The 24,512-nt window shown below is 40.0% G+C and overlaps 1 long non-coding RNA gene across 4 annotated transcripts in view, besides 2 other annotated features; it reads left to right on the forward strand.

Moving 5' to 3' along the window:
• Positions 1–24,512, forward strand: part of LOC101929770 (uncharacterized) — a 105,175-nt gene that overhangs the window by 22,754 nt on the left and 57,909 nt on the right. For 2 of the 4 annotated variants that reach the window (XR_926855.3, XR_007059596.1), the window contains exon 2: positions 21,830–21,930. The exons of the other annotated variants lie outside the window; for them this stretch is intronic. This is a non-coding gene — a long non-coding RNA (uncharacterized LOC101929770). The remainder of the gene's footprint in view (positions 1–21,829; positions 21,931–24,512) is intronic. 4 annotated transcript variants of the gene reach the window in all.
• Positions 8,937–9,528: an enhancer, noted in NCBI's record as "H3K27ac-H3K4me1 hESC enhancer chr6:44727363-44727954 (GRCh37/hg19 assembly coordinates)". NCBI's record gives its function as "activates a minimal SCP1, AML or CMV promoter by ChIP-STARR-seq in primed H9 embryonic stem cells {active_cell/tissue: H9 hESC(primed)}" and the evidence as "EXISTENCE:reporter gene assay evidence [ECO:0000049][PMID:30033119]".
• Positions 20,963–21,582: an enhancer, noted in NCBI's record as "OCT4-NANOG-H3K27ac hESC enhancer chr6:44739389-44740008 (GRCh37/hg19 assembly coordinates)". NCBI's record gives its function as "activates a minimal SCP1, AML or CMV promoter by ChIP-STARR-seq in naive H9 embryonic stem cells {active_cell/tissue: H9 hESC(naive)}" and the evidence as "EXISTENCE:reporter gene assay evidence [ECO:0000049][PMID:30033119]".

Raw genomic sequence — 24,512 nt, forward strand, 5'->3', positions numbered from 1 at the left:
AGAAGAAAAGAGAAGAATCAAATAGATGCAATAAAAAATGATACAGGAGATATCACCACCGATCCCACAGAAATACAAACTACCATCAGAGAATACTATAAACACCTCTATGCAAATAAACTAGAAAATCTAGAAGAAATGGATAAATTCCTGGACACATATACACTCCCAAGACTAAACCAGGAAGAAGTTGAATCCCTGAATACACCAATAACAGGCTCTGAAATGGAGGCAATAATTAATAGCCTACCAACCAAAAAAAGTCCAGGACCAGATGGATTCACAGCCAAATTCTACCAGAGGTACAAGGAGAAGCTGGTACCATTCCTTCTGAAAGTATTCCTATCAATAGAAAAAGAAGGAATCCTCCCTAACTCGTTTTATGAGGCCAGCATCATCCTGATACCAAAGCCTGGCAGAGACACAATAAAAAAAGAGAATTTTAGACCAATATCCCTGATGAACATCGATGCAAAAATCCTCAATAAAATACTGGCAAACCAAATCCAGCAGCACATCAAAAAGCTTATCCACTATGATCAAGTGGGCTTCATCCCTGGGATGGAAGGCTGGTTCAACATACACAAATCAATAAATATAATCCAGCATATAAACAGAACCAAAGACAAAAACCACATGATTATCTCAATAGATGCAAAAAAAGGCCTTTGACAAAATTCAACAACCCTTCATGCTAAAAACTCTCAATAAATTAGGTATTGATGGGACATATCTCAAAATAATGACAGCTATTTATGACAAACCTACAGCTAATATACTGAATGGGCAAAAACTGGAAGCATTCCCTTTGAAAACTGGCACAAGTCAGGGATGCCCTCTCTTACCACTCCTGTTCAACATGTTATTGGAAGTTCTGGCCAGGACAATCAGGCAAGAGAAATAAATAAAGGGTATTCAATTAGGAAATGAGGAAGTCAAATTGTCCCTGTTTGCAGATGACATGATTGTATATTTAGAAAACCCCACCGTCTCAGCCCAAAATCTCTTTAAGCTGATAAGCAACTTCAGCAAAGTCTCAGGATACAAAGTCAATGTGCAAAAATCACAAGCATTCCTATACACCATTAACAGACAAACAGAGAGCCAAATCATGAGTGAACTCCCATTCACAATTGCTACAAAGAGAATAAAATACCTAGGAATCCAACTTACAAGGGATGTAAAGGAGCTCTTCAAGGAGTACTACAAAGCACTGCTCAACGAAATAAAAGAGGACACAAACAAATGGAAGAACACTTCATGCTCATGGATAGGAAGAATCAATATTTTGAAAATGGCCATACTGCCTAAAGTAATTTATAGATTCAATGCCATCCCCATCAAGCTACCAATGACTTTCTTCACAGAATTGGAAAAAACTACTTTAAAGTTCATATGGAACCAAAAAAGAGCTGACATTGCCAAGAGAATCCTAAGTCAAAAGAACAAAGCTGGAGGCATCATGCTACCTGACTTCAAATTATATTACAAGGCTCAGTAACCAAAACAGCATGGTACTGGTACCAAAACAGAGATATAGACCAATGGAACAGAACAGAGCCCTCAGAAATCATACCACACATCTACAACCATCTGGTCTTTGACAAACATGACAAAAACAAGCAATGGGGAAAGGATTCCCTATTTAATAAATGGTGTTGTGAAAACTGGCTAGCCATATGTAGAAAGCTGAAACTGGATCCCTTCCTTACACCTTATACAAAAATTAATTCAAGATGGGTTAAAGACTTACATGTTAGACCTAAAACCATAAAAACCCTAGAAGAAAACCTAGGCGATACCATTCAGGACACGGGCATGTGCAAGGACTTCATGTCTAAAACACCAAAAGCAATGGCAACAAAAGCCAAAATTGACAAATGGGATCTAATTAAACTAAAGAGCTTCTGCACAGCAAAAGAAACTACCATCAGAGTGAACAGGCAACCAACAAAATGGGAGAAAATTTTCGCAATCTACTCATCTGACAAAGGGCTAATATCCAGAATCTACAATGAACTCAAACAAATTTACAAGAAAAAAACAAACAACCCCATCAAAAAGTGGGCAAAGGACATGAACAGACACTTCTCAAAAGAAGACATTTATGCAGCCAAAAAACACATGAAAAAATGCTCACCATCACTGGCCATCAGAGAAATGCAAATCAAAACCACAATGAGATACCATCTCACACCAGTTAGAATGGCAATCATTAAAAAGTCAGGAAACAACAGGTGCTGGAGAGGATGTGGAGAAATAGGAACACTTTTACACTGCTGGTGGGACTGTAAACTAGTTCAACCATTGTGGAAGTCAGTGTGGCGATTCCTCAGGGATCTAGAACTAGAAATACCATTTGACCCAGCCATCCCATTACTGGGTATATACCCAAAGGACTATAAATCATGCTGCTATAAAGACACATACACACGTATGTTTATTGCGGCATTATTCACAATAGCAAAGACTTGGAACCAACCCAAATGTCCAACAATGATAGATTGGATTAAGAAAATGTGGCACATATATACCATGGAAAACTATGCAGCCATAAAAAATGATGAGTTCATGTCCTTTGTAGGGACATGGATGAAATTGGAAATCATCATTCTCAGCAAACTATCACAAGGACAAAAAACAAAACACCACATGTTCTCATTCATAGGTGGGAATTGAACAATGAGAATACTTGGACACAGGAAGGGGAACATCACACACCGGGGCCTGTTGTGGGTTGGGGGGAGGGGGGAGGGAAAGCATTAGGAGATATACCTAATGTAAATGACAAGTTAATGGGTGCAGCACACCAACATGGCACATGTATACATATGTAACAAACCTGTACATTGTGCACATGTACCCTAGAACTTAAAGTGTAATTAAAAAAAAAAAAGAAAAAAACAAACAACCCCATCAAAAAGTGGGCAAAGGATGTAAACAGACACTTCTCAAAAGAAGACATTTATGCAGCCAACAGACACATGAAAAAATGCTCATCATCACTGGCCATCAGAGACATGCAAATCAAAACCACAATGAGATACCATCTCACACCAGTTAGAATGGCAATCATTAAAAAGTCAGGAAACAACAGGTGCTGGAGAGGATGGGGAGAAATAGGAACACTTTAACACTGTTGGTGGGACTGTAAACTAATTCAACCATTGTGGAAGATAGTGTGGCAATTCCTCAATGATCTAGAACTAGAAATACCATTTGACCCAGCCATCCCATTACTGGGTATATACCCAAAGGATTATAAATCATGTTGCTATAAAGACACATGCACACATATGTTTATTGCGGCACTATTCACAATAGCAAAGACTTGGAACCGACTCAAATGTCCATCAGTGATAGACTGGATTAAGAAAATATGGCACATATACACCACGGAATACTATGCAGCCATAAAAAAGGAAGAGTTCATGTCCTTTGTAGGGACATGGATGAAGCTGGAAACCATCATTCTCAGCAAACTATCGCAAGGACAAAAAACCAAGCACTGCATGTTCTCACTCATAGGTGGGAATTGAACAACGAGAACACTTGGACACAGGAAGGGGAACATCACACACTGGGGCCTTTCGTGGTGTGGGGGGAGGAGGGGAGGGAGAGCATTAGGAGATATACCTAATGCAAATGACGAGTTAATGGGTGCAGTGCACCAACATGGCACATGTATACATATGTAACAAACCTGCACGTTGTGCACATGTACCCTAGAACTTAAAGTGTAATTAAAAACAAAAAACAAAAAACAAATCTATCCAATCTCAATCTCAGTTTTTTTTTTTTTTATTATACTTTAAGTTTTAGGGTACATGTGCACAACGTGCAGGTTAGTTACATATGTATACATGTGCCATGCTGGTGCGCTGCGCCCACTAACTCGTCATCTAGCATTAGGTATATCTCCCGATGCTATCCCTCCCCCCTCCCCCCACCCCACAACAGTCCCCAGAGTGTGATGTTCCCCTTCCTGTGTCCATGTGATCTCATTGTTCAATTCCCACCTATGAGTGAGAATATGTGGTGTTTGGTTTTTTGTTCTTGAGATAGTTTACTGAGAATGATGATTTCCAATTTCATCCATGTCCCTACAAAGGACATGAACTCATCATTTTTTATGGCTACATAGTATTCCATGGTGTATATGTGCCACATTTTCTTAATCCAGTCTATCATTGTTGGACATTTGGGTTGGTTCCAAGTCTTTGCTATTGTGAATATTGCCGCAATAAACATACGTATGCATGTGTCTTTATAGCAGCATGATTTATAGTCCTTTGGGTATATACCCAGTAATGGGATGGCTGGGTCAAATGGTATTTCTAGTTCTAGATCCCTGAGGAATCGCCACACTGACTTCCACAATGGTTGAACTAGTTTACAGTCCCACCAACAGTGTAAAAGTGTTCCTATTTCTCCACATCCTCTCCAGCACGTGTTGTTTCCTGACTTTTTAATGATTGCCATTCTAACTGGCATGAGATGGTATCTCATTGTGGTTTTGATTTGCATTTCTCTGATGGCCAGTGATGGTGAGCATTTTTTCATGTGTTTTTTGGCTGCATAAATGTCTTCTTTTGAGAAGTGTCTGTTCATGTCCTTTGCCCACTTTTTGATGGGGTTGTTTGTTTTTTTCTTGTAAATTTGTTTGAGTTCATTATAGATTCTGGATATTAGCCCTTTGTCAGATGAGTAGATTGCGAAAATTTTCTCCCATTTTGTTGGTTGCCTGTTCACTCTGATGGTAGTTTCTTTTGCTGTGCAGAAGCTCTTTAGTTTAATTAGATCCCATTTGTCAATTTTGGCTTTTGTTGCCATTGCTTTTGGTGTTTTAGACATGAAGTCCTTGCCCATGCCTATGTCCTGAATGGTAATGCCTAGGTTTTCTTCTAGGGTTTTTATGGTTTTAGGTCTAACGTTTAAATCTTTAATCCATCTTGAATTGATTTTTGTATAAGGCATAAGGAAGGGATCCAGTTTCAGCTTTCTACATATGGCTAGCCAGTTTTCCCAACACCATTTATTAAATAGGGAATCCTTTCCCTATTGCTTGTTTTTGTCATGTTTGTCAAAGATCAGATAGTTGTAGATATGCGGCATTATTTCTGAGGGCTCTATTCTGTTCCATTGATCTATATCTCTGTTTTGGTACCAGTACCATGCTGTTTTGGTTACTGTGGACTTGTAGTCTAGTTTGAAGTCAGGTAGTGTGATGCCTCCAGCTTTGTTCTTTTGGCTTAGGATTGACTTGGCGATGCGGGCTCTGTTTTGGTTCCATATGAACTTTAGAGTAGTTTTTTCCAATTCTGTGAAGAAAGTCATTGTTAGCTTGATGGGGATGGCATTGAATCTATAAATTACCTTGGGCAGTATGGCCATTTTCACGATATTGATTCTTCCTACCCATGAGCATGGAATGTTCTTCCATTTATTTGTATCCTCTTTTATTTTGTTGAGCAGTGCTTTGTAGTTCTCCTTGAAGAGGTCCTTCACATCCCTTGTAAGTTGGATTCCTAGGTATTTTATTCTCTTTGAAGCAATTGTGAATGGGAGTTCACTCATGATTTGGCTCTCTGTTTGTCTGTTGTTGGTGTATAAGAATGCTTGTGATTTTTATACATTGATTTTGTATCCTGAGACTTTGCTGAAGTCGCTTATCAGCTTAAGGAGATTTTGGGCTGAGACAATGGGGTTTTCTAGATATACAATCATGTCATCTGCAAACAGGGACAATTTGACTTCCTCTTTTCCTAATTGAATACCCTTTATTTCCTTCTCCTGCCTAATTGCCCTGGCCAGAACTTCCATCACTATGTTGAATAGGAGTGGTGAGAGAGGGTATCCCTGTCTTGTGCCATTTTTCAAAGGGAATGCTTCCAGTTTTTGCCCATTCAGAATGATATTGGCTGTGGGTTTGTCATAGATAGCTCTTATTATTTTGAAATACGTCCCATCAATACCTAATTTATTGAGTGTTTTTAGCATGAAGGGTTGTTGAATTTTGTCAAAGGCTTTTTCTGCATCTATTGAGATAATCATGTGGTTTTTGTCTTTGGCTCTGTTTATATGCTGGATTACATTTATTGATTTGCATATATTGAACCAGCCTTGCATCCCAGGGATGAAGCCCACTTGATCATGGTGGATAAGCTTTTTGATGTGCTGCTGGATTTGGTTTGCCAGTATTTTATTGAGGATTTTTGCATCAATGTCCATCAAGGATATTGGTCTAAAATTCTCTTTTTTTATTGTGTCTCTGCCTGGTTTTGGTATCAGAATGATGCTGGCCTCATAAAATGAGTTAGGGAGGATTCCCTCTTTTTCTATTGATTGGAATAGTTTCAGAAGGAGTGGTACCAGTTCCTCCTTGTACCTCTGGTAGAATTCGGCTGTGAACCCATCTGGTCCTGGACTCTTTTTGGTTGGTAAGCTATTGATTATTGCCACAATTTCAGCTCCTGTTATTGGTCTATTCAGAGATTCAACTTCTTCCTGGTTTAGTCTTGGGAGAGTGTATGTGTCCAGGAATTTATCCATTTCTTCTAGATTTTCTAGTTTATTTGCATGGAGGTGTTGGTAGTATTCTCTGATGGTAGTTTGTATTTCTGTGGGATCAGTGGTGATATCCCCTTTATCATTTTTTATTGCATCTATTTGATTCTTCCCTCTTTTTTTCTTTATTAGTCTTGCTAGCAGTCTATCAATTTTGTTGATCCTTTCAAAAAACCAGCTCCTGGATTCATTAATTTTTTGAAGGGTTTTTTGTGTCTCTATTTCCTTCAGTTCTGCTCTGATTTTAGTTATTTCTTGCCTTCTGCTAGCTTTTGAATGTGTTTGCTCTTGCTTTTCTAGTTCTTTTAATTGTGATGTTAGGGTGTCAATTTTGGATCTTTCCTGCTTTCTCTTGTGGGCATTTAGTGCTATAAATTTCCCTCTACACACTGCTTTGAATGCGTCCCAGAGATTCTGGTATGTTGTGTCTTTGTTCTCATTGGTTTCAAAGAACATCTGTATTTCTGCCTTCATTTCGTTATGTACCCAGTAGTCATTCAGGAGCAGGTTGTTCAGTTTCCATGTAGTTGAGCGGCTTTGAGTGGGATTCTTAATCCTGAGTTCTAGTTTGATTGCACTGTGGTCTGAGAGATAGTTTGTTATAATTTCTGTTCTTTTACGTTTGCTGAGGAGAGCTTTACTTCCCAGTATGTGGTCAATTTTTGAATAGGTGTGGTGTGCTGCTGAAAAAAATGTATATTCTGTTGATTTGGGGTGGAGAGTTCTGTAGATGTGTATTAGGTCCGCCTGGTGCAGAGCTGAGTTCAATTCCTGGGTATCCTTGTTGACTTTCTGTCTCGTTGATCTGTCTAATGTTGACAGTGGGGTGTTAAAGTCTCCCATTATTAATGTGTGGTAGTCTAAGTCTCTTTTTAGGTCACTCAGGACTTGCTTTATGAATCTGGGTGCTCCTGTATTGGGTGCATATATATTTAGGATAGTTAGCTCTTCTTGCTGAATTGATCCCTTTACCATTAGGTAATGGCCTACTTTGTCTCTTTTGATCTTTGTTGGTTTAAAGTCTGTTTTATGAGAGACTAGGATTGCAACCCCTGCCTTTTTGTTTTCCATTGGCTTGGTAGATCTTCCTCCATCCTTTTATTTTGAGCCTATGTGTGTCTCTGCACGTGAGATGGGTTTCCTGAATACAGCACACTGATGGGTCTTGACTCTTTATCCAATTTGCCAGTCTGTGTCTTTTAATTGGAGCATTTAGTCCATTTACATTTAAAGTTAATATTGTTATATGTGAATTTCATCCTGTCATTATGATGTTAGCTGGTTATTTTGCTCGTTAGTTGATGCAGTTTCTTCCTAGTCTCGATGGTCTTTACATTTTGGCATGATTTTGCAGTGGCTGGTACTGGTTGTCCCTTTCCCTGTTTAGTGCTTCCTTCAGGAGCTCTTTTAAGGCAGGCCTGGTGGTGACAAAATCTCTCAGCATTTGCTTGTCTGTAAAGTATTTTATTTCTCCTTCACTTATGAATCTTAGTTTGGCTGGATATGAAATTCTGGGTTGAAAATTCTTTTCTTTAAGAATGTCGAATATTGGCCCCCACTCTCTTCTGGCTTGTAGGGTTTCTGGCAAGAGATCAGCTGTTAGTCTGATGGGCTTCCCTTTGAGGGTAACCCGACCTTTCTCTCTGGCTGCCCTTAACATTTTTTCCTTCATTTCAACTTTGGTGAATCTGACAATTATGTGTCTTGGAGTTGCTCTTCTTGAGGAGTATCTTTGTGGTGTTCTCTGTATTTCCTGAATCTGAACGTTGGCCTGCCTTGCTAGATTGGGGAAGTTCTCCTGGATAATATCTTGCAGAGTGTTTTCCAACTTGGTTCCATTCTCCCTGTCACTTTCAGGTACACCAATCAGACGTAGATTTGGTCTTTTCACATAGTCCCATATTTCTTGGAGGCTTTGCTCATTTCTTTTTATTCTTTTTTCTCTAAACTTCCCTTCTCGCTTCATTTCATTCATTTCATCTTCCATTGCTGATACCCTTTCTTCCAGTTGATCGCATCGGCTCCTGAGGCTTCTGCATTCTTCACGTAGTTCTCGAGCCTTGGTTTTCAGCTCCATCAGCTCCTTTAAGCACTTTTCTGTATTGGTTATTCTAGTTATACATTCTTCTAAATTTTTTTCAAAGTTTTCAACTTCTTTGCCTTTGGTTTGAATTTCCTCCTGTAGCTGAGAGTAATTTGATCGTCTGAAGCCTTCTTCTCTCAGCTCGTCAAAGTCATTCTCCATCCAGCTTTGTTCCGTTGCTGGTGAGGAACTGCGTTCCTTTGGAGGAGGAGAGGCGCTCTGCTTTTTAGAGTTTCCAGTTTTTCTGTTCTGTTTTTTCCCCATCTTTGTGGTTTTATCTACTTTTGGTCTTTGATGATGGTGGTGTACAGATGGGTTTTTGGTGTGGATGTCCTTTCTGTTTGTTAGTTTTCCTTCTAACAGACAGGACCCTCAGCTGCAGGTCTGTTGGAGTGACACCCTGCCATGTGAGGTGTCAGTGTGCCCCTGCTGGGGGGTGCCTCCCAGTTAGGCTGCTCGGGGTTCAGGGGTCAGGGACCCACTTGAGGAGGCAGTCTGCCCGTTCTCAGATCTCCAGCCGTGTGCTGGGAGAACCACTGCTCTCTTCAAAGCTGTCCGACAGGGACATTTAAGTCTGCAGAGGTTACTGCTGTCTTTTTGTTTGTCTGTGCCCTGCCCCCAGAGGTGGAGCCTACATAGGCAGGCAGGCCTCCTTGAGCTGTGGTGGGCTCCACCCAGTTCGAGCTTCCTGGCAGCTTTGTTTACCTAATCATGCCTGGGCAATGGCGGGCGCCCCTCCCCCAGCCTCGCTGCTGCCTTGCAGTTTGATCTCAGACTGCTGTGCTAGCAATCAGCAAGACTCCGTGGGCATAGGACCCTCTGAGCCAGGTGCGGGATATAATCTCGTGTTGCGCCATTTTTTAAGCCCATCGGAAAAGCACAGTATTCGGGTGGGAGTGACCCGATTTTCCAGGTGCTGTCAATCACCCCTTTCTTTGACTCAGAAAGGGAACTCCCTGACCCCTTGCGCTTCCCAAGTGAGGCAATGCCTCGCCCTGCTTCTGCTCACGCACGGTGCGCGCACACACTGACCTGCGCCCACTGTCTGGCACTCCCTAGTGAGATGAACCCAGTACCTCAGATGGAAATGCAGAAATCACCCGTCTTCTGCGTTGCTCATGCTGGGAGCTGTAGACCGGAGCTGTTCCTATTCGGCCATCTTTCAATCTCAGTTTTGACTGCACAAGATTTCTGTAAACCTTTTAACCTTTACAATTTTCTATTAAAGAACAGATCAGTGCTCCAAGAAAACCCTGTTATTTTGACCCAGGGGCCTAACTCTGGCCCTGCATCAGTGTATTTTTGATATGCTCCATTTTTAGGAAAAATAATCCCCTTCTAATTTAGCCAACTTAATCACACATAAAATTCTTTTCATGAGATTAATCTTCTACAGGCCTTCTACAACTTGCTTAAACCTTCAGTTTTGTGTTGTATATCCCCTTTTTATATTGGCATTCTACCTTAGGTGAAAATTTACTTTCCTTGCCCTCTTGTTTTGACCACACAAAGTTCTCTCATGTAAAAGGAAAAAAATTATTCTTTTTAAAAACTCTTTTTGCATCTTACTTTCTTTATATACTCTGTATGTAGAATTGTTTGTCTTATACTTAGTAGTTTTAATTGCATATATTAATTCCAGTGTGAACTCTTAGTAACCCTGATTTTCAGTGAAAAACCTAGGAACCGATTTTACTTATGTGTCAGATGCAGATCCCAGGACAAAGGTTGGATGCAGCCTTTCCAGCATGGTCAAGAGGCATAGCTGACCCAGGGAGGATGCAGCCCAGGCACTGTCCCAAGGCCTCACCATGGCCACTATCTATACCACAGGATTTAAAGGCCCAAATTCAAAGACATAAGCTCACAGACAAATTAAGCAAGTGTCAAAAATATCATAAAAGCAACAGCTTTATGACTTTAAAATATCTAGTAGAGACATTATAAACAGATCTGATCAGTAGACCCAGGCAAAAATGTCTAAAATTCTGAAGACATTTCTATTATTTTATCAACAATTTAAAAACTATCTTTATTTACCAAAGAGTACTAAAGTCACAGGGACCTGAAAAGCATTTGGGTTATTTAACTTATGAGCCCTCATTTATTTATAAGTCAATGGTATCACAACCAATATACAAACAGCCATGTATATATGTACACATAATACAGACAGGCACAAATAAAGACATTATAGCTTTGATTTAAAACTCTTAACCATGAGACCTGTAAAAGTCACTAGCTTGAAAGGATGGTGGGATTCAAACTGTGTCTTTGTGAATGAAAAAGGTTAAAGTTTATCTCTCTCACAGGGCTGAAGCCCTTACGGAGTTTTAGAGAAAACATGATAGCAAATTTACTTCTCAAATCAGAGAGAGAGAGACAGAGAGAATTTGGCTTCTTTCAAGAAGGAGTTTGGGTGTGTTAGAGAAAGATTTAAAATGGATGCCAAGGTAACACAAATGATAGGAAAATGCCATAGCATTTTATAAGGAGACCAATTTTATTTAGATAAGTAGCTTTTAATTTAGCCTGTTTTCCAACTGGACTGCTATGTTCAGGGCAGAGCCCATTAAGAAACATGACCAACAAAGCATTTGTAATTTTTAATGGCCTAATAATTTATGTGAAAAGCAGGTGCAGTTGGGAGGCAGAACATCTAGATATTTAAAAATCAAGGACTCCACTTTTACACTTTATCCTGAGTTCCCAGAAAGAGGAGAATGCCATGGGACTGAGCCACGCAATGCTTTCACAGTGCACTTTACTAGAAACACATTTCTTTAAGTGTTTAAATCATGCCTTTTAAATCTAAACATGCAAAGAAATGAGTAGCCCTCTCTAATAGTAACCATTCATTATACTTCCTAAAGTAAGGAAGAGAAAAAAGAAAGCAAAAATAAAAATTTTAAAGTTTTTAGAAAATAACCATTCATTTTAAACAGCTGCTGTCAGCTACCTCCAAAACTGCAGCTCTTGCCATTGACTCAGCAGCCATCACACATACAAAGGTCAAGTGCTCTCTCACAGTACAGAGAAATCTCTGGTACCCCTCAAAGCCAAAGAGATCAGGTAATACAATACAAAAGAAAGCAGAGTTTTAGACCTGAGAGGAACTCGTCCATGACTCTTCAGACTCCACAGGAAGACAGAATACCCCAAAAAGAGGGTTAGTGGTACTCTTTTCTGTGTGCCTTAAGGGAATTTGAGTCATTAGAAGTCTCTTCTAGATTCTTTCATGTGCGACCAAAGACAACAAAGAGAAAGGAGGAACTTGTATATCAGCTTTTAATTAAGCTGACTTTAACCATAGAGCTTAAAAAAAAAAAGTCTTTGCATACCTCTTATTATCAGATTTTAGCCAGGAAAAATAGCTGGTATTCCTGGCATTTGAACTTTTGTTTTAACCAAAGGCAACCTCCCAAGTGACTCACCAAAACCAATAAGGCTTAACCAAGGTATGACTTTTTTTTTTTAATTTAAGTTCAAGGGTACATGTGCACAACATGCAGGTTTGATACATAGGTATGCATGTGCCATGTTGGTTTGCTGCATCCATCAACTCATCATTTACATTAGGTATTTCTCCTAATGCTATTCCTCCCCCAGTAGGCCCTGGTGTGTGATGTTCCCCACCCTGTGTCCAAGTGATCTCATTGTTCAGTTCCCACCTATGAGTGAGAACATGCAGTGTTTGGTTTTCTGTCCTTGTGATAGTTTGCTGAGAATGATGGTTTCCAGCTTCATCTAGCTTCATCCATCTCCCTGCAAAGGACATGAACTCATCCTTTTTTATGGTTGCCTAGTATTCCATAGTGTATATGTGCCACATTTCTTTAATCCAGTCTATCATTGATGGACATTTGGGTTGGTTCCAAGTCTTTGCTATAGAGAACAGTGCCGCAACAAACATACGTGTGCATGTGTCTTTATAGTAGTATGATTTATAATCCTTTGGGTACATACCCAGTAATGGGATGGCTGGGTCAAATGGTAATTCTAGTTCTAGATCCTTGAGGAATCGCCACACTGTCTTCCACAATGGTTGAACTAATTTACACTCCCACCAACAATGTAAAAGCATTCCTATTTCTCCACATCCTCTACAGCATCTGTTGTTTCCTGACTTTTTAATGATTGCCATTCTAACTGGTGTGAGATGGTATCTCATTGTGGTTTTGATTTGCATGTCTCTGATGACCAATGATGATGAGCATTTTTTCATGTGTCTTTTGCCTGCATAGATGTCTTCTTTTGAGAAGTGTATGTTTATATCCTTTGCCCACTTTTTGATGGGGTTGTTTTTTTCTTGTAAATTTGAGTTCTTTTTAGATTCTGGATATTAGCCCTTTGTCAGATGGGTAGATTGCAAAAATTTTCTCCCATTCTGTAGGTCACCTGTTCACTGTGATGGTAGTTTCTTTTGCTGTGCAGAAGCTCTTTAGTTTAATTAGATCCCATTAGTCTATTTTGGCTTTTGTTGCCATTGCTTTCGGTGTTTTTGTCATGAAGTTCTTGCCCATGCCTATGTCCTGAATGGTATTGCCTAGGTTTTCTTCTAGGGTTTTTATGGTTTTAGGTCTAACATTTAAGTCTTTAATCCATCTTGAATTAATTTTTGTACAAGTTGTAAGGAAGGGATCCAGTTTCAGCTTTCTACATATGGCTAGCCAGTTTTCCCAGCACCATTTATTAAATAGGGAATACTTTCCCCATTTCTTGTTTTTGTCATGTTTGTCAAAGATCAGATAGTTGTAAATGTGTGGTGTTATTTCTGAGGCCTCTGTTCTGTTCCATTTGTCTATATCTCTGTTTTGGTACCAGTACCATGCTGTTTTGGTTACTGGAACCTTGTAATATAGTTTGAAGTCAGGTAGCATGATGCCTCCAGCTTTGTTCTTTTACTTAGGATTGTCTTGGCTATGTGGGCTCTTTTTTTGGTTCCATAAGAACTTTGAAGTAGTTTTTTTTCCAATTCTGTGAAGAAAATCATTGGTAGCTTGATGGGGATGGCATTGAATCTATAAATTATTTTAGGCAGTATGGCCACTTTCACGATATTGATTCTTCCTCTCCATGAGCATGGAATATTCTTCCATTTGTTTGTGTCCTCTTTTATTTCATTGAGCAGTGGTTTGTAGTTCTCCTGAAGAGGTCCTTCATATCCCTTGTAAGTTGTATACCTAGGCATTTTATTCTCTTTGTAGCAATTGTGAATGGGAGTTCACTCATGATTTGGCTCTCTGTTTGTCTGTTAATGGTGTATAGGAATGCTTGTGATTTTTGCACATTGACTTTGTATCCTGAGACTTTGCTGAGTTGCTTATCAGCTTAAGGAGATTTTGGGCTGAGACGGTGGGGTTTTCTAAATATACAATCATGTCATCTGCAAACAGGGACAATTTGACTTCCTCATTTCCTAATTGAATACCCCTTATTTATTTCTCTTGCCTGATTGTCCTGGCCAGAACTTCCAACACCATGTTGAACAGGAGTGGTGAGAGAGGGCATCCCTGTCTTGTGCCAGTTTTCAAAGGGAATGCTTCCAGTTTTTGCCCATTCAGTATGATATTGTCTGTGGGTTTGTCATAAATAGCTGTCATTATTTTGAGATACGTTCCATCGATACCTAGTTTATTGAAGAGTTTTTTTTAGCATGAAGGGCTGTTGAATTTATCGAAGGCCTTTTCTGCCTCTATTGAGATAATCATGAGGTTTTTGTCATTGGTTCTGTTTATGTGATGGATTACGTCTATTGATTCGTGTATGTTGAACCAGCCTTCCATCCCAGGGATGAAGCTGACTTGATCATGGTGGATAAGCTTTTTGATGTGCTGCTAGATTTGGTTTGCCAGTATTTTATTGAGGATTTTCGCATCAATGTTCATCAGGGATATTGGTCTAAAATTCTCTTTTTTTTGTTGTATCTCTGCCAGGCTTTGGTATCAGGATGATTCTGGCCTCATAAAATGAGTTAGGGAGGATTCCTTCTTTTTCTATTGATTGGAATAGTTTCAGAAGGAATGGTACCAGCTCCTCTTTGTACCTCTGGTAGAATTTGGCTGTGAATCCATCTGGTCCTGGACTTTTTTTGGTTGGTAGACTATTAATTATTGTCTCCATTTCAGAGCCTGTTATTGGTGTATTCAGGGATTCAACTTCTTCCTGGTTTAGTCTTGGGAGGGTGTATGTGTCCAGGAATTTATCCATTTCTTTTATATTTTCTAATTTATTTGCATAGAGGTGTTTATAGTATTCTCTGATAGTAGTTTGTATTTCTGTGGGATCGGTGGTGATACCCCCTTTATCATTTTTGATTGTGTCTATTTGATTCTTCTCTTTTCTTCTTTATTAGTCTTGAGAGTGGTCTGTCAATTTTGTTGATCTTTTCAAGAAACAGCTCCTAGATTCATTGATTTTTTTTGAAGGGTTTTTGTGTCTCTATCTCTTTCAGTTCTGCTCTGATCTTAGTTATTTCTTGCCTTTTGCTAGCTTTTGAATTTGTTTGCTCTTGCTTATCTAGTTCTTTTAATTGTGATGTTAGGGTGTCAATTTTAGATCTTTCCTGCTTTCTGTTGTGAGCATTTAGTGCTATAAATTTCCCTCTACACACTGCTTTAAATGTGTACCAGAGATTCTGATACGTTGTGTCTTTGTCCTCATTAGTTTCAAAGAACATCTTTATTTCTGCCTTCACTTTGTTATGTACCCAGTAGTCATTCAGGAGCAGGTTTTTCAGTTTCTATGTAGTTGAACGGTTTTGAGTGAGTTTTTTAATCCTCACTTCTAATTTGATTGCACTGTGGTCTGAGAGACAGTTTGTTGTGATTTCTGTTCTTTTACATTTGCTGAGGAGTGCTTTACTTCCAACTATGTGGTCAATTTTGGAATAAGTGCGATGTGGTGCTGAGAAGAATGTATATTCTGTTGATTTGGGGTGGAGAGTTCTGTAGATGTCTATTAGGTCTGCTTGGTGCAGAGCTGAGTTCAGTTTCTGGATATCCTTGTTAACCTTCTGTCTCATTGATCTGTCTAATATTGACAGTGGGGTGTTAAAGTCTCCCATTATTATTGTGTGGGAGTCTAAGTCTCTTTGTAAGTCTCTAAGGACTTGCTTTATGAATCTGGGTGCTCCTGTATTGGGTGCATATATATTTAGGATAGTTAGCTCTTCTTTTTGAATTCATCCCTTTACCATTATGTAATGGCCTTCTTTGTGTCTTTTGATCTTTGTTGGTTTCGTGAAGTATCTCCAAAGAAGTTCAAAGCAGTCCTCACAAGATCCAGAACTACCCCAAAGACAGCTCAAAGAAAGGAAGGTTTTGCTAGCTGCAAATGGAGTAAACTCACATTTCTGTCTGGCCATGTTTTCTTGGATCTCAGCCTTTCAGCCTAGCACCTGTGCACAAGGACCCGAAGCCCCATATGCCCCACAAATGGAAAAAGAAGGGAGCCCAAAAGCTCTCCACGGAAAGGGAAAAGGACCAGTAACAAATGAGTATCCCAAAAGGTCATGAATCATGCAAATAATTTTAAACAAATCGGACTATTTCCCTGACCAGGGATTGAACCTGGGCCACCCTGGCCACTAGACTACAGGGTGGAGTGCTTTTTTGTGTGTCAATCCTGCAGGGGATCCAAAGCAGGAAGTTTGAGTGTTTAAAGGATTTTAACTTATTTCTGATCTGATTTGAGTTGGACTGCTGCTTTGCTAATTTTCTGGATGTTAGCATTTCAAAGACACGATAAAGTTTAAAGGGTATTGTTTGATATTGGGTCAGAAAATCAGTGTATTTATTAGTCTTGGTTTAGGACAGTTGTTAGATCTGCATTTTTATAATCACAGTAGTTTTATTTCCATCCTGCAGTTGCTCCATTTGTTCCTTCTGTTCTAAATTTAAATTCATTTTCCCCTCTGAGAGAAGGAAATGTGTACACTGTAAAATTCCAGAATATCTCTGGCTAAAAGGTGTATGGGAGTTGAGGGAACAAGCAGAAAGGGATGAGTAGATCACAGGGCTCATCTGAAGGAGCAGTGAGAGGTGAAAGGGAGAAAGCCTGTGAAGTCTATTTTAATAGTTTCAAATATTCCTTTGTTTACCTGTTGAATGGAAGAGGCAATTTTTTTCTGTTAGAGTTTCTTTTAGAGGTTTTAAGGTGTATTGGAAATAAGTCTCCTATTCAATTTATCTGGTTCTAAAACCAGCTGTTCCTAATTGTTCACAGAAATAATTTTTTTTTTTTTTGAGACGGAGTCTCGCTCTGTTGCCTAGGCTGGAGTGCAGTGGCACGATCTCGGCTCACTGAAACCTCTGCATCCTGGGTTCAAGCAATTCTCCTGCCTCAGCCTCCTGAGTAGCTGGACTACAGGTGCGTGCCACCATACCTGGCTAATTTTTCTATTTTTAGCAGAGATGGGGTTTCACCATGTTGGCCAGGATGTTCTTGATCTCCTGACCTCGTGATCCACCTGCCTTGGCCTCCTAAAGTGCTGGGATTACAGGCGTGAACCACTGTACCTGGCCTGTTTTTGGTATTTTTAAAGGCCTTCATTTTTGGTCATTGCTGCTTATGACCATCCCAGGTTAGGTGGGTCCACGTTCCTGGATATCTACAAGAGGGCACCCTATAAGTGTTCTACATAAATCCAGCTGGTGTTTTTAAAAGGAGCATTGAGATTTTGAAGCTTGATTTCCCATCATTTAGGAATTTTTCAAAAGTGAGGCTGGGAATGTGTTTAGGGTCAAAGTGTGATGAATCTCTGAGTGTGTCTAACTGCCAGGTGGCAGCAGAATGCTAAAAGTATGTGGGGCCAGACCCTTATAAGAGTCTGGAAGAGCAAAACGGGGGTACACTTTTCACTTAGTAACAAACAGGAACCAGTCACAAATGAAAGGCTAACCCTGAATTTTCAAGAGATAGAAAACAGCCACAATCTTAAAAGCATACTATGTAAAATGAAACCACCAGTGCCTAACTGCCAGCCTTTTGCCCTGAGTCTCTGCTGTGAGGCAGGCAGAAAAACCTTGACTCAAACCTCTGGTCCTGAGGCAGAGGTGGAAAAACCTTGACCCGAACTTCTGCTGTGAGACAGAAGTGGGAAAAAAGGCAGTTCCCCACAGAGCTCTCCACCAGAATCTCCTGTCCAAAGACTGAAGCCCTCACTCTTCAAGAAAGAGTTTGAAAAACGGTCCAAAGAAAGTCTAGACCTTTAACCAAAGAGTGGGAGGTCTGAATTCAGGAAAACTCATCTGAAACACCCAACGGGACTTCTGAAGACAGACTGTTTATGCTGGTACCGAGCGCTGCTTTCTGAGAGAAACACCAAGCGGTTGGGGTCCCGGGGAGTCACTCTGAGTCCTGCTGATTTATGCTAGACATGTTGACCTAAAAGGAAGAAGCTGAGGCAAAATTAATAAAAGTAGAAAGTTTATTTGGGCCCAGCTTGAAGATTACAACCCAGGAGCATTGATTCAAGTTGTCCCAAATATACTCTCCAGTTGGCAGCAGTTACAAGTACACTGTTGAAGGGAAAGAAGAGTCCATTTCTGAGTTTGTTACCGGTGGCAGGCATCTGAGTTACTGGCGGTGAATCCATATGGGTCTGCAGCAACCTCAATTTTTGCCTTCTCAGAAGAAAGAATTCAACTGAGGGGCATATGGCAGAAGAAGAGACCGAAGCAAGTTTTAGAGCAGGAGCGAAAGTTTATTAAAAAGCTTTAGAACAGGAATGAAGGAAAGTACACTTGGAAGAGGTCCAAGTGGGCGACTTGAAGGGCAAGTAGTCAGCTTGACCTTTGCCTTGGGGTTTTATACATTGGCCTACTTCCAGGGTCTTGCATCCTTTCTCCCCTGATTTTTCCCTTGGGGTCTGTTGTCTGCATGCACAGTGGCCTGCTAGCACTTGGGAGGTGAGCATGCACAGTGTGTGTACTGGAGTTGTACACATGCTCACTTGAGACATTTTTTTCCCTCGCTGGTGGAATGTCCACGGAGGGTCATATACCTGTTAAACGCCATCATTTTGCCTCTTAGTGCGCATGTGTGAGCCCACTCTTCCAACTCCTGAAATCTTATCAGGAAGCTGCTGATCACCAGTTTCAGGTTTTGTTTTTTTTTAAAAATCTATAGGGAGTCTGCTTTTCCCTGGCACTGACTGCGACCAATTGTTATTTTAGAGAGACAGTTAACAACTGCCTGGCCGTCACCTGATGGTCGCCTGACCTTCCTTGTTGTGATGGGCAAGCTCTCCTGCCCTGCTCATATCTGCCTGACTACCTACTGTAACAAGTTGTTTACCAAGACTGTACATTAAAAATAACAACCTATAGATTGACTATACATTGTTAAGCTATAGGGTGTGGGTTATAGTGCCTGGAGCAGCATTATTAGGTTAGTTTATAGCTGTGGCAGTAGCAAGCAGTTTCAAGAGATAAATACAAGTCTCAAAAGGGAGGGAGTAGGATGTGATTGCTGCCTCATTTTAATGTCTCTCTGGGTCTGATAGTTTAAAAGGACTCACATTCCCCAGATAAAAGTTCTTTTTTTTTTTGTTTTTTGTTTTTCTCTCACATCTGTCAGACAGGAAGGGTTTCCTCCACATGGATGTGATGCTTAAATTTTCTGAAAAATCAAGACCAGCTTTGTTCATTTTGCTTAGGATTGTCTTGGCTTTATGGGCTCTTTTTTTGGTTCCATATGAAATTTAAAGTAGTTTTTTCTAATTCTGTAAACAAAGTCAATGGTAGCTTGATGGGGATAGCATTGAATCTATAAATTACTTTGGGCAGTGTGGCCATTTTCACGATATTGGTAACAAAGCTGGAGGCATCACGCTACCTGACTTCAAACTATACTACAAGGCTACAGTAAACAAAACAGCATGGTACTGGTACCAAAACAGATATGTAGACCAATGGAACAGAACAGAAATAATGCCACACATCTACAACCATCTGATCTTTGACAAACCTGACAAAAACAAGCAGTGGGGAAAGGGTTCCCTATTTAACAAGTGGTGTTGGGAAAACTGGTTAGCCATATGCAGAAAGCTGAAACTGGATCCCTTCATTACACCTTATACAAAAATTAACTCAAGATGGATTAAAGACTTAAACGTAAGACCTAAAACCATAAAAACTCTAGAAGAAAACCTAGGCAATGCCATTCAGGACATAGGCATGGGCAAAGATTTCGTGACTAAAACACCAAAAGCAATGGCAACCAAAGCCAAAATTGACAAATGGGATCTAATTAAACTAAAGAGCTTCTGCACAGCAAAAGAAACTACCGTCAGAGTGAACAGGCAACCTACAGAATGGGAGAAAATTTTTGAAATCTATCCATCTGACAAAGGGCTAATATCCAGAATCTACAAAGAACTTAAATTTACAAGAAAAAAACAACCCCATCAACAAGTGGGTGAAGGATATGAACAGTCGCTTCTGAAAAAAAGACATTTTTGTGGCCAACAAACTCATGAAAAAAAGCTCATCATCACTGTTCATTAGAGAAATGCAAATCAAAACCACAATGAGATACCATCTCATGCCAGTTAGAATGGCGATCATTACAAAGTCAGGAAACAATAGATGCTGGGGAGGATGTGGAGAAATAGGAACCCTTTTACAATGTTGGTGGGAGTATACATTAGTTCAACCATTGTGGAAGACAGTGTGGCAATTCCTCAAGGATCTAGAACCAGAAATACCATTTGACCCAGCAATCCCATTACTGGGTATATACCCAAAGGATTATAAATTATTCTGCTATAAAGACACATGCACACGTATGTTTATTGCAGCACTGTTCACAGTAGCAAAGACTTGGAACCAACCCAAATGCCCATCAATGATAGGCTGGATAAAGAAAATGTGGCACATCTACACCATGGAATTCTGTGCAGCCATAAAAAAGGATGAGGTCATGTCCTTTGTAGGGACATGGATGAAGCTGGAAACCATCATTCTCAGCAAACTAACGCAAGAACAGAAAACCAAACACTGCATATTCTCACTCATAAGTGGGAGTTGAACAATGAGAACACATAGACACAGGGAAGGGAATATCACACACCAGGGCCTGTGAAGGGGTGGGGAGCCAGGGGAGGGATAGCATTAGGAGAAATACCTAATGCAGGAGACGGGTTGATAGGTGCAGCAAACCACCGTGGCACGTGTATACCTCTGTAACAAACCTGTATGTTTAATATCCTTAATATATAATAAAATTTTACAAATAAGTAGGAAAACTTAAATAAAAAAAAGTCAAGACCAGAAGCCTCAGACATCTGTCTTTGCTGCTGATTACAGAAGCAGCCTACAGTTTCAGACAGTTCTGGGCAAGTGTAAAAGCCAGCCTAGAGAAAATGATACTTATTAGCAGGCAAAACCTCTGCTGAGGAGAATCCACAGGCAGGGAAGTGGCAATAATTGGGCCAGAGGCCAGGCCAGAGCTTGCCCTCTTTACTAACTGCAGGAAGAGCTCAGAAGGGAAAAAAAAAAGGAAGGCAGGGAGGAGGGGAATGCTTAACTGCCTTAGGAGAACAAACAGCTTTTAAATACTTTAGACCCATTTTTCACCTGTAACCAATTGATGTGCTAATTCCACTTCATTCTTCTTTGTGGCACCAAAGGAAGCTCTAAAGCCCCTACTTGCCAATAGCTTGTTTCAGATTATACTGTTTGTCCGTAGAAAAAAAATAAAACTACATTTCTTTAAAGCTAGTGTTTGATTTCTTTAAGAACAGCGTATAATAGAGAGTTTTAATAAATTCCATTTATTTCCACAATTGCCATCCAGGTCAGCCCTAGGTCCCCCTCTGTCAGGGCCAGGGCCCAAGTAAGGAGAAACATGTCTGGGAGCTGTGATGACGTCACCCTCAAGAGGTTAGGGACATTTTGGAACATCTGTAGCTTCCTGATTCACAGGCCTCCTTTATGTTACTAAAGAAATGATGCAGGTCATCCATGAGCACCCCAGCTGGGAGTACACGCTCCATACTTTCCCACCTAGGAGATCAGCCTTCCTTTTATTTGCCAGAACTCAACTCTGCAGCCTCACCCAGCAGAATCTTTCATCTTAGACTTGGGGGTCAGGGGGATGGGGACACAAGTCCTGGGTGTCCTCTTCTGGAGGGCACCCTTCCCAGCTTTAAGTCTCAGCCCCTTTCCTTTACAGCCTCATCTTGCAGCCTGAGGGAACAGCCTCATATTCAGGCTTCCTTTTGCCTTCTCTGCTTCACCTTGATTGAAGCTACCCTTCTCTGCACCTTCTTTAAGGTAAGCAAATGCCATTTTTTGGAAGCTGGTCTTGAAACTGCCTTCGCAAAATTATAAGTAATGAGGGAAATCTAACATGACTGACTGAGGTTAGAGGTTACTTCTAACCTCACAGGCTAAATTATTGTTTTGTTTTTGTTTTTTTGCTTATTCTAGTGTTGAGGCCAAGATAACGATGAGAGGACTTTAGTTCACAGGTAAAGTTTGAAGCAAGGAAAACTGATCCTCTCCTTGTCCAGAGATTGAAGCTACATTCATATGACAAGGCTAGAACTATGGTGGAGGCTTGAACTTTGTTAAGGAATCAGCATAAATAGTAACCTGCCATTGCTTAGTTTGCTTTTCTATAAATTGCTTACTACCCCACCATCACATAATCAAAGATTGCAAGATTTATAACTTCCCCCAACTACTCCTATACATGACATCACTATTGTGAAACCTAAAGAACTGATCTTTGAGATATTTTTTCAGATTTAGCATTTTGGTAAACCAAAAGATGCCACCTGGTCCTGAGACCCCCCTCCCTACACCCTGCCACCAAGAACTGACTCAGCTGCATGAAGACAGTTTAGACACCCCTGTGATTTCATCCTAAGCCAATCAATTGTTTCATTTCTCCAGTATCCTGCTCACCAAAGTACTCTTAAAAACCCTAGCCTCTGGATTTATTTATTTATTTATTTACATTTTTTCATTTAAAAAATTTCATGGTATATAGTAGGTCTATATATTTAAGGGGTACGTGAGATGTTTTGATACAGGCATGCAATGTGAAATAAGCACATCATGGAGAATAGAGTAATCATTCCCTCAAGCATTTATCCTTCGAGTTACAAACAATCTAGTTGCACTCTTTAAATTATTTTAAAATGTACAGTTAGGTTATTATTGACTATAGTCACCCTGTTGTGCTATCAAATAGCACAAAGTAGTTCTTATTCATCCTTTCCATTTTTTTATGCCCATTAACCATCTCCACTCCTCCCCAGTTCCACACTATTCTTCCCAGCCTCTGGTAACTAACCTTCTACTCTCTCTGCCCATGAGTTCAATTGTTTTGATTTTTAGATCCCACAAATAAGTGAGAACATGCGACGTTTATCTTTCTATGCCTGGCTTATTTCGCTTAACATAATGATCTCCAGTTCTATCCATGTTGTTGCAAATGACAGGATCTCATTCTTTTTTATGACTGAATAGTACTCCATTGTGTATCTGTCCCGCATTTTCTTTATCCATTCATCTCTTGATGGACACTTAGGTTGCTTCCAGATGTTAGCTATCGTAAACAGTGCTGCAGCAAACATAGAAGTGCAGATATCTCTTTGATATACTGATTTCTTTTCTTTTTGGTGTATACCCAGCAGTGGGATTGCTGGATCATATGGTAGCTCGATTTTTAGTTTTTTAAGGAACCTCCAAACTGTTCTCCATAGTGGATGTACTAATTTGCATTCCCACCAAAAGTGTACAAAGGTTCCCTTTTCTCTACATCCTCATCAACATTTGTTATTGCCTATCTTTTAGATATATGCCATTTTAACTGGAATGAAATGATATCTCATTATAGTTTTGATTTGCATTTCTCTAATGATCAATGAAGTCAAGCACATTTTCATATGTGACATGGTTTGGCTCTGTGTCTCCACCCAAATCTCATCTCGAATGGTAATCCCTACGTGTTGAGGGAGGGACCTGTAATCCCCACAAGTCGAGGGAGGGAGGTGATTGGATCATGAGAGTGGTTCCCCCCGTGCTGTTCTCATGATAATGAGTCCTCTTGAGATCTGATGGTTTTATAAATGTTTCACAGTTCTTCCTTCACACGTTCTCTCTCCTGCTGCCTTGTGAAGAAGGTGCTTGCTTCCCCTTCACCTTCTGCCTTGATTGTAAGTTTCCTGAGGCCTCCTCAGCCATGTGCAATTGTGAGTCAATTAAACTTCTTTCCTTTATAAATTACCCAGTCCGTCTTGGGTATTTCTTTATGGCAGTGTGAAAATGGACTAATATGATATGCCTGTTTGCCATTTGTATGTCTTCTTTTGAGAAATGTCTGTTCAAATCTTTTGCCCATTTTTTTGATTGGATGATTAGATTTTTTTTTCTTGTAAAGTTGAGCTCCTTATATATTCTGGTTATTCATCCCTTGTCAGATAGGTAGTTTGCACATATTTCCTCCTACTCTATGGGTTGTCTCTTCACTTTATTGATTGTATCATTTGCTGTGCAGAAGCTTTTTAACTTGATATCGTCACATTTGTCCATTTTTGCTTTGGTTGCCTGTGCTTTTGGGGTATTGCTCAAGAAATTCTTGCTCAGACTAATGTCCTGAAGATTTTCCCCAATGTTTTCTTGTAATAATTTCATAGTTTGAGGTCTAGCTTCTGAATTATCAGGGAGGCAGATTTGAGAAATAACATCGTCTCTATCATCCTTTCATTTGCCTGGCCCTGCAATTATTAAGCTCTTTCTTTGCTGCAGTACCTGCTGTTCCTAGTGCATTGTCTTTTCTGGGCAGCAGGAAGAAAGAACCCATTGGGCTATGACAGTCTGACTTCCAGTGCCAGAGGAAATTCACT

This window comes from Homo sapiens, chromosome 6, assembly GCF_000001405.40.
Source record: "Homo sapiens chromosome 6, GRCh38.p14 Primary Assembly".
NCBI lineage: Eukaryota > Metazoa > Chordata > Mammalia > Primates > Hominidae > Homo > Homo sapiens.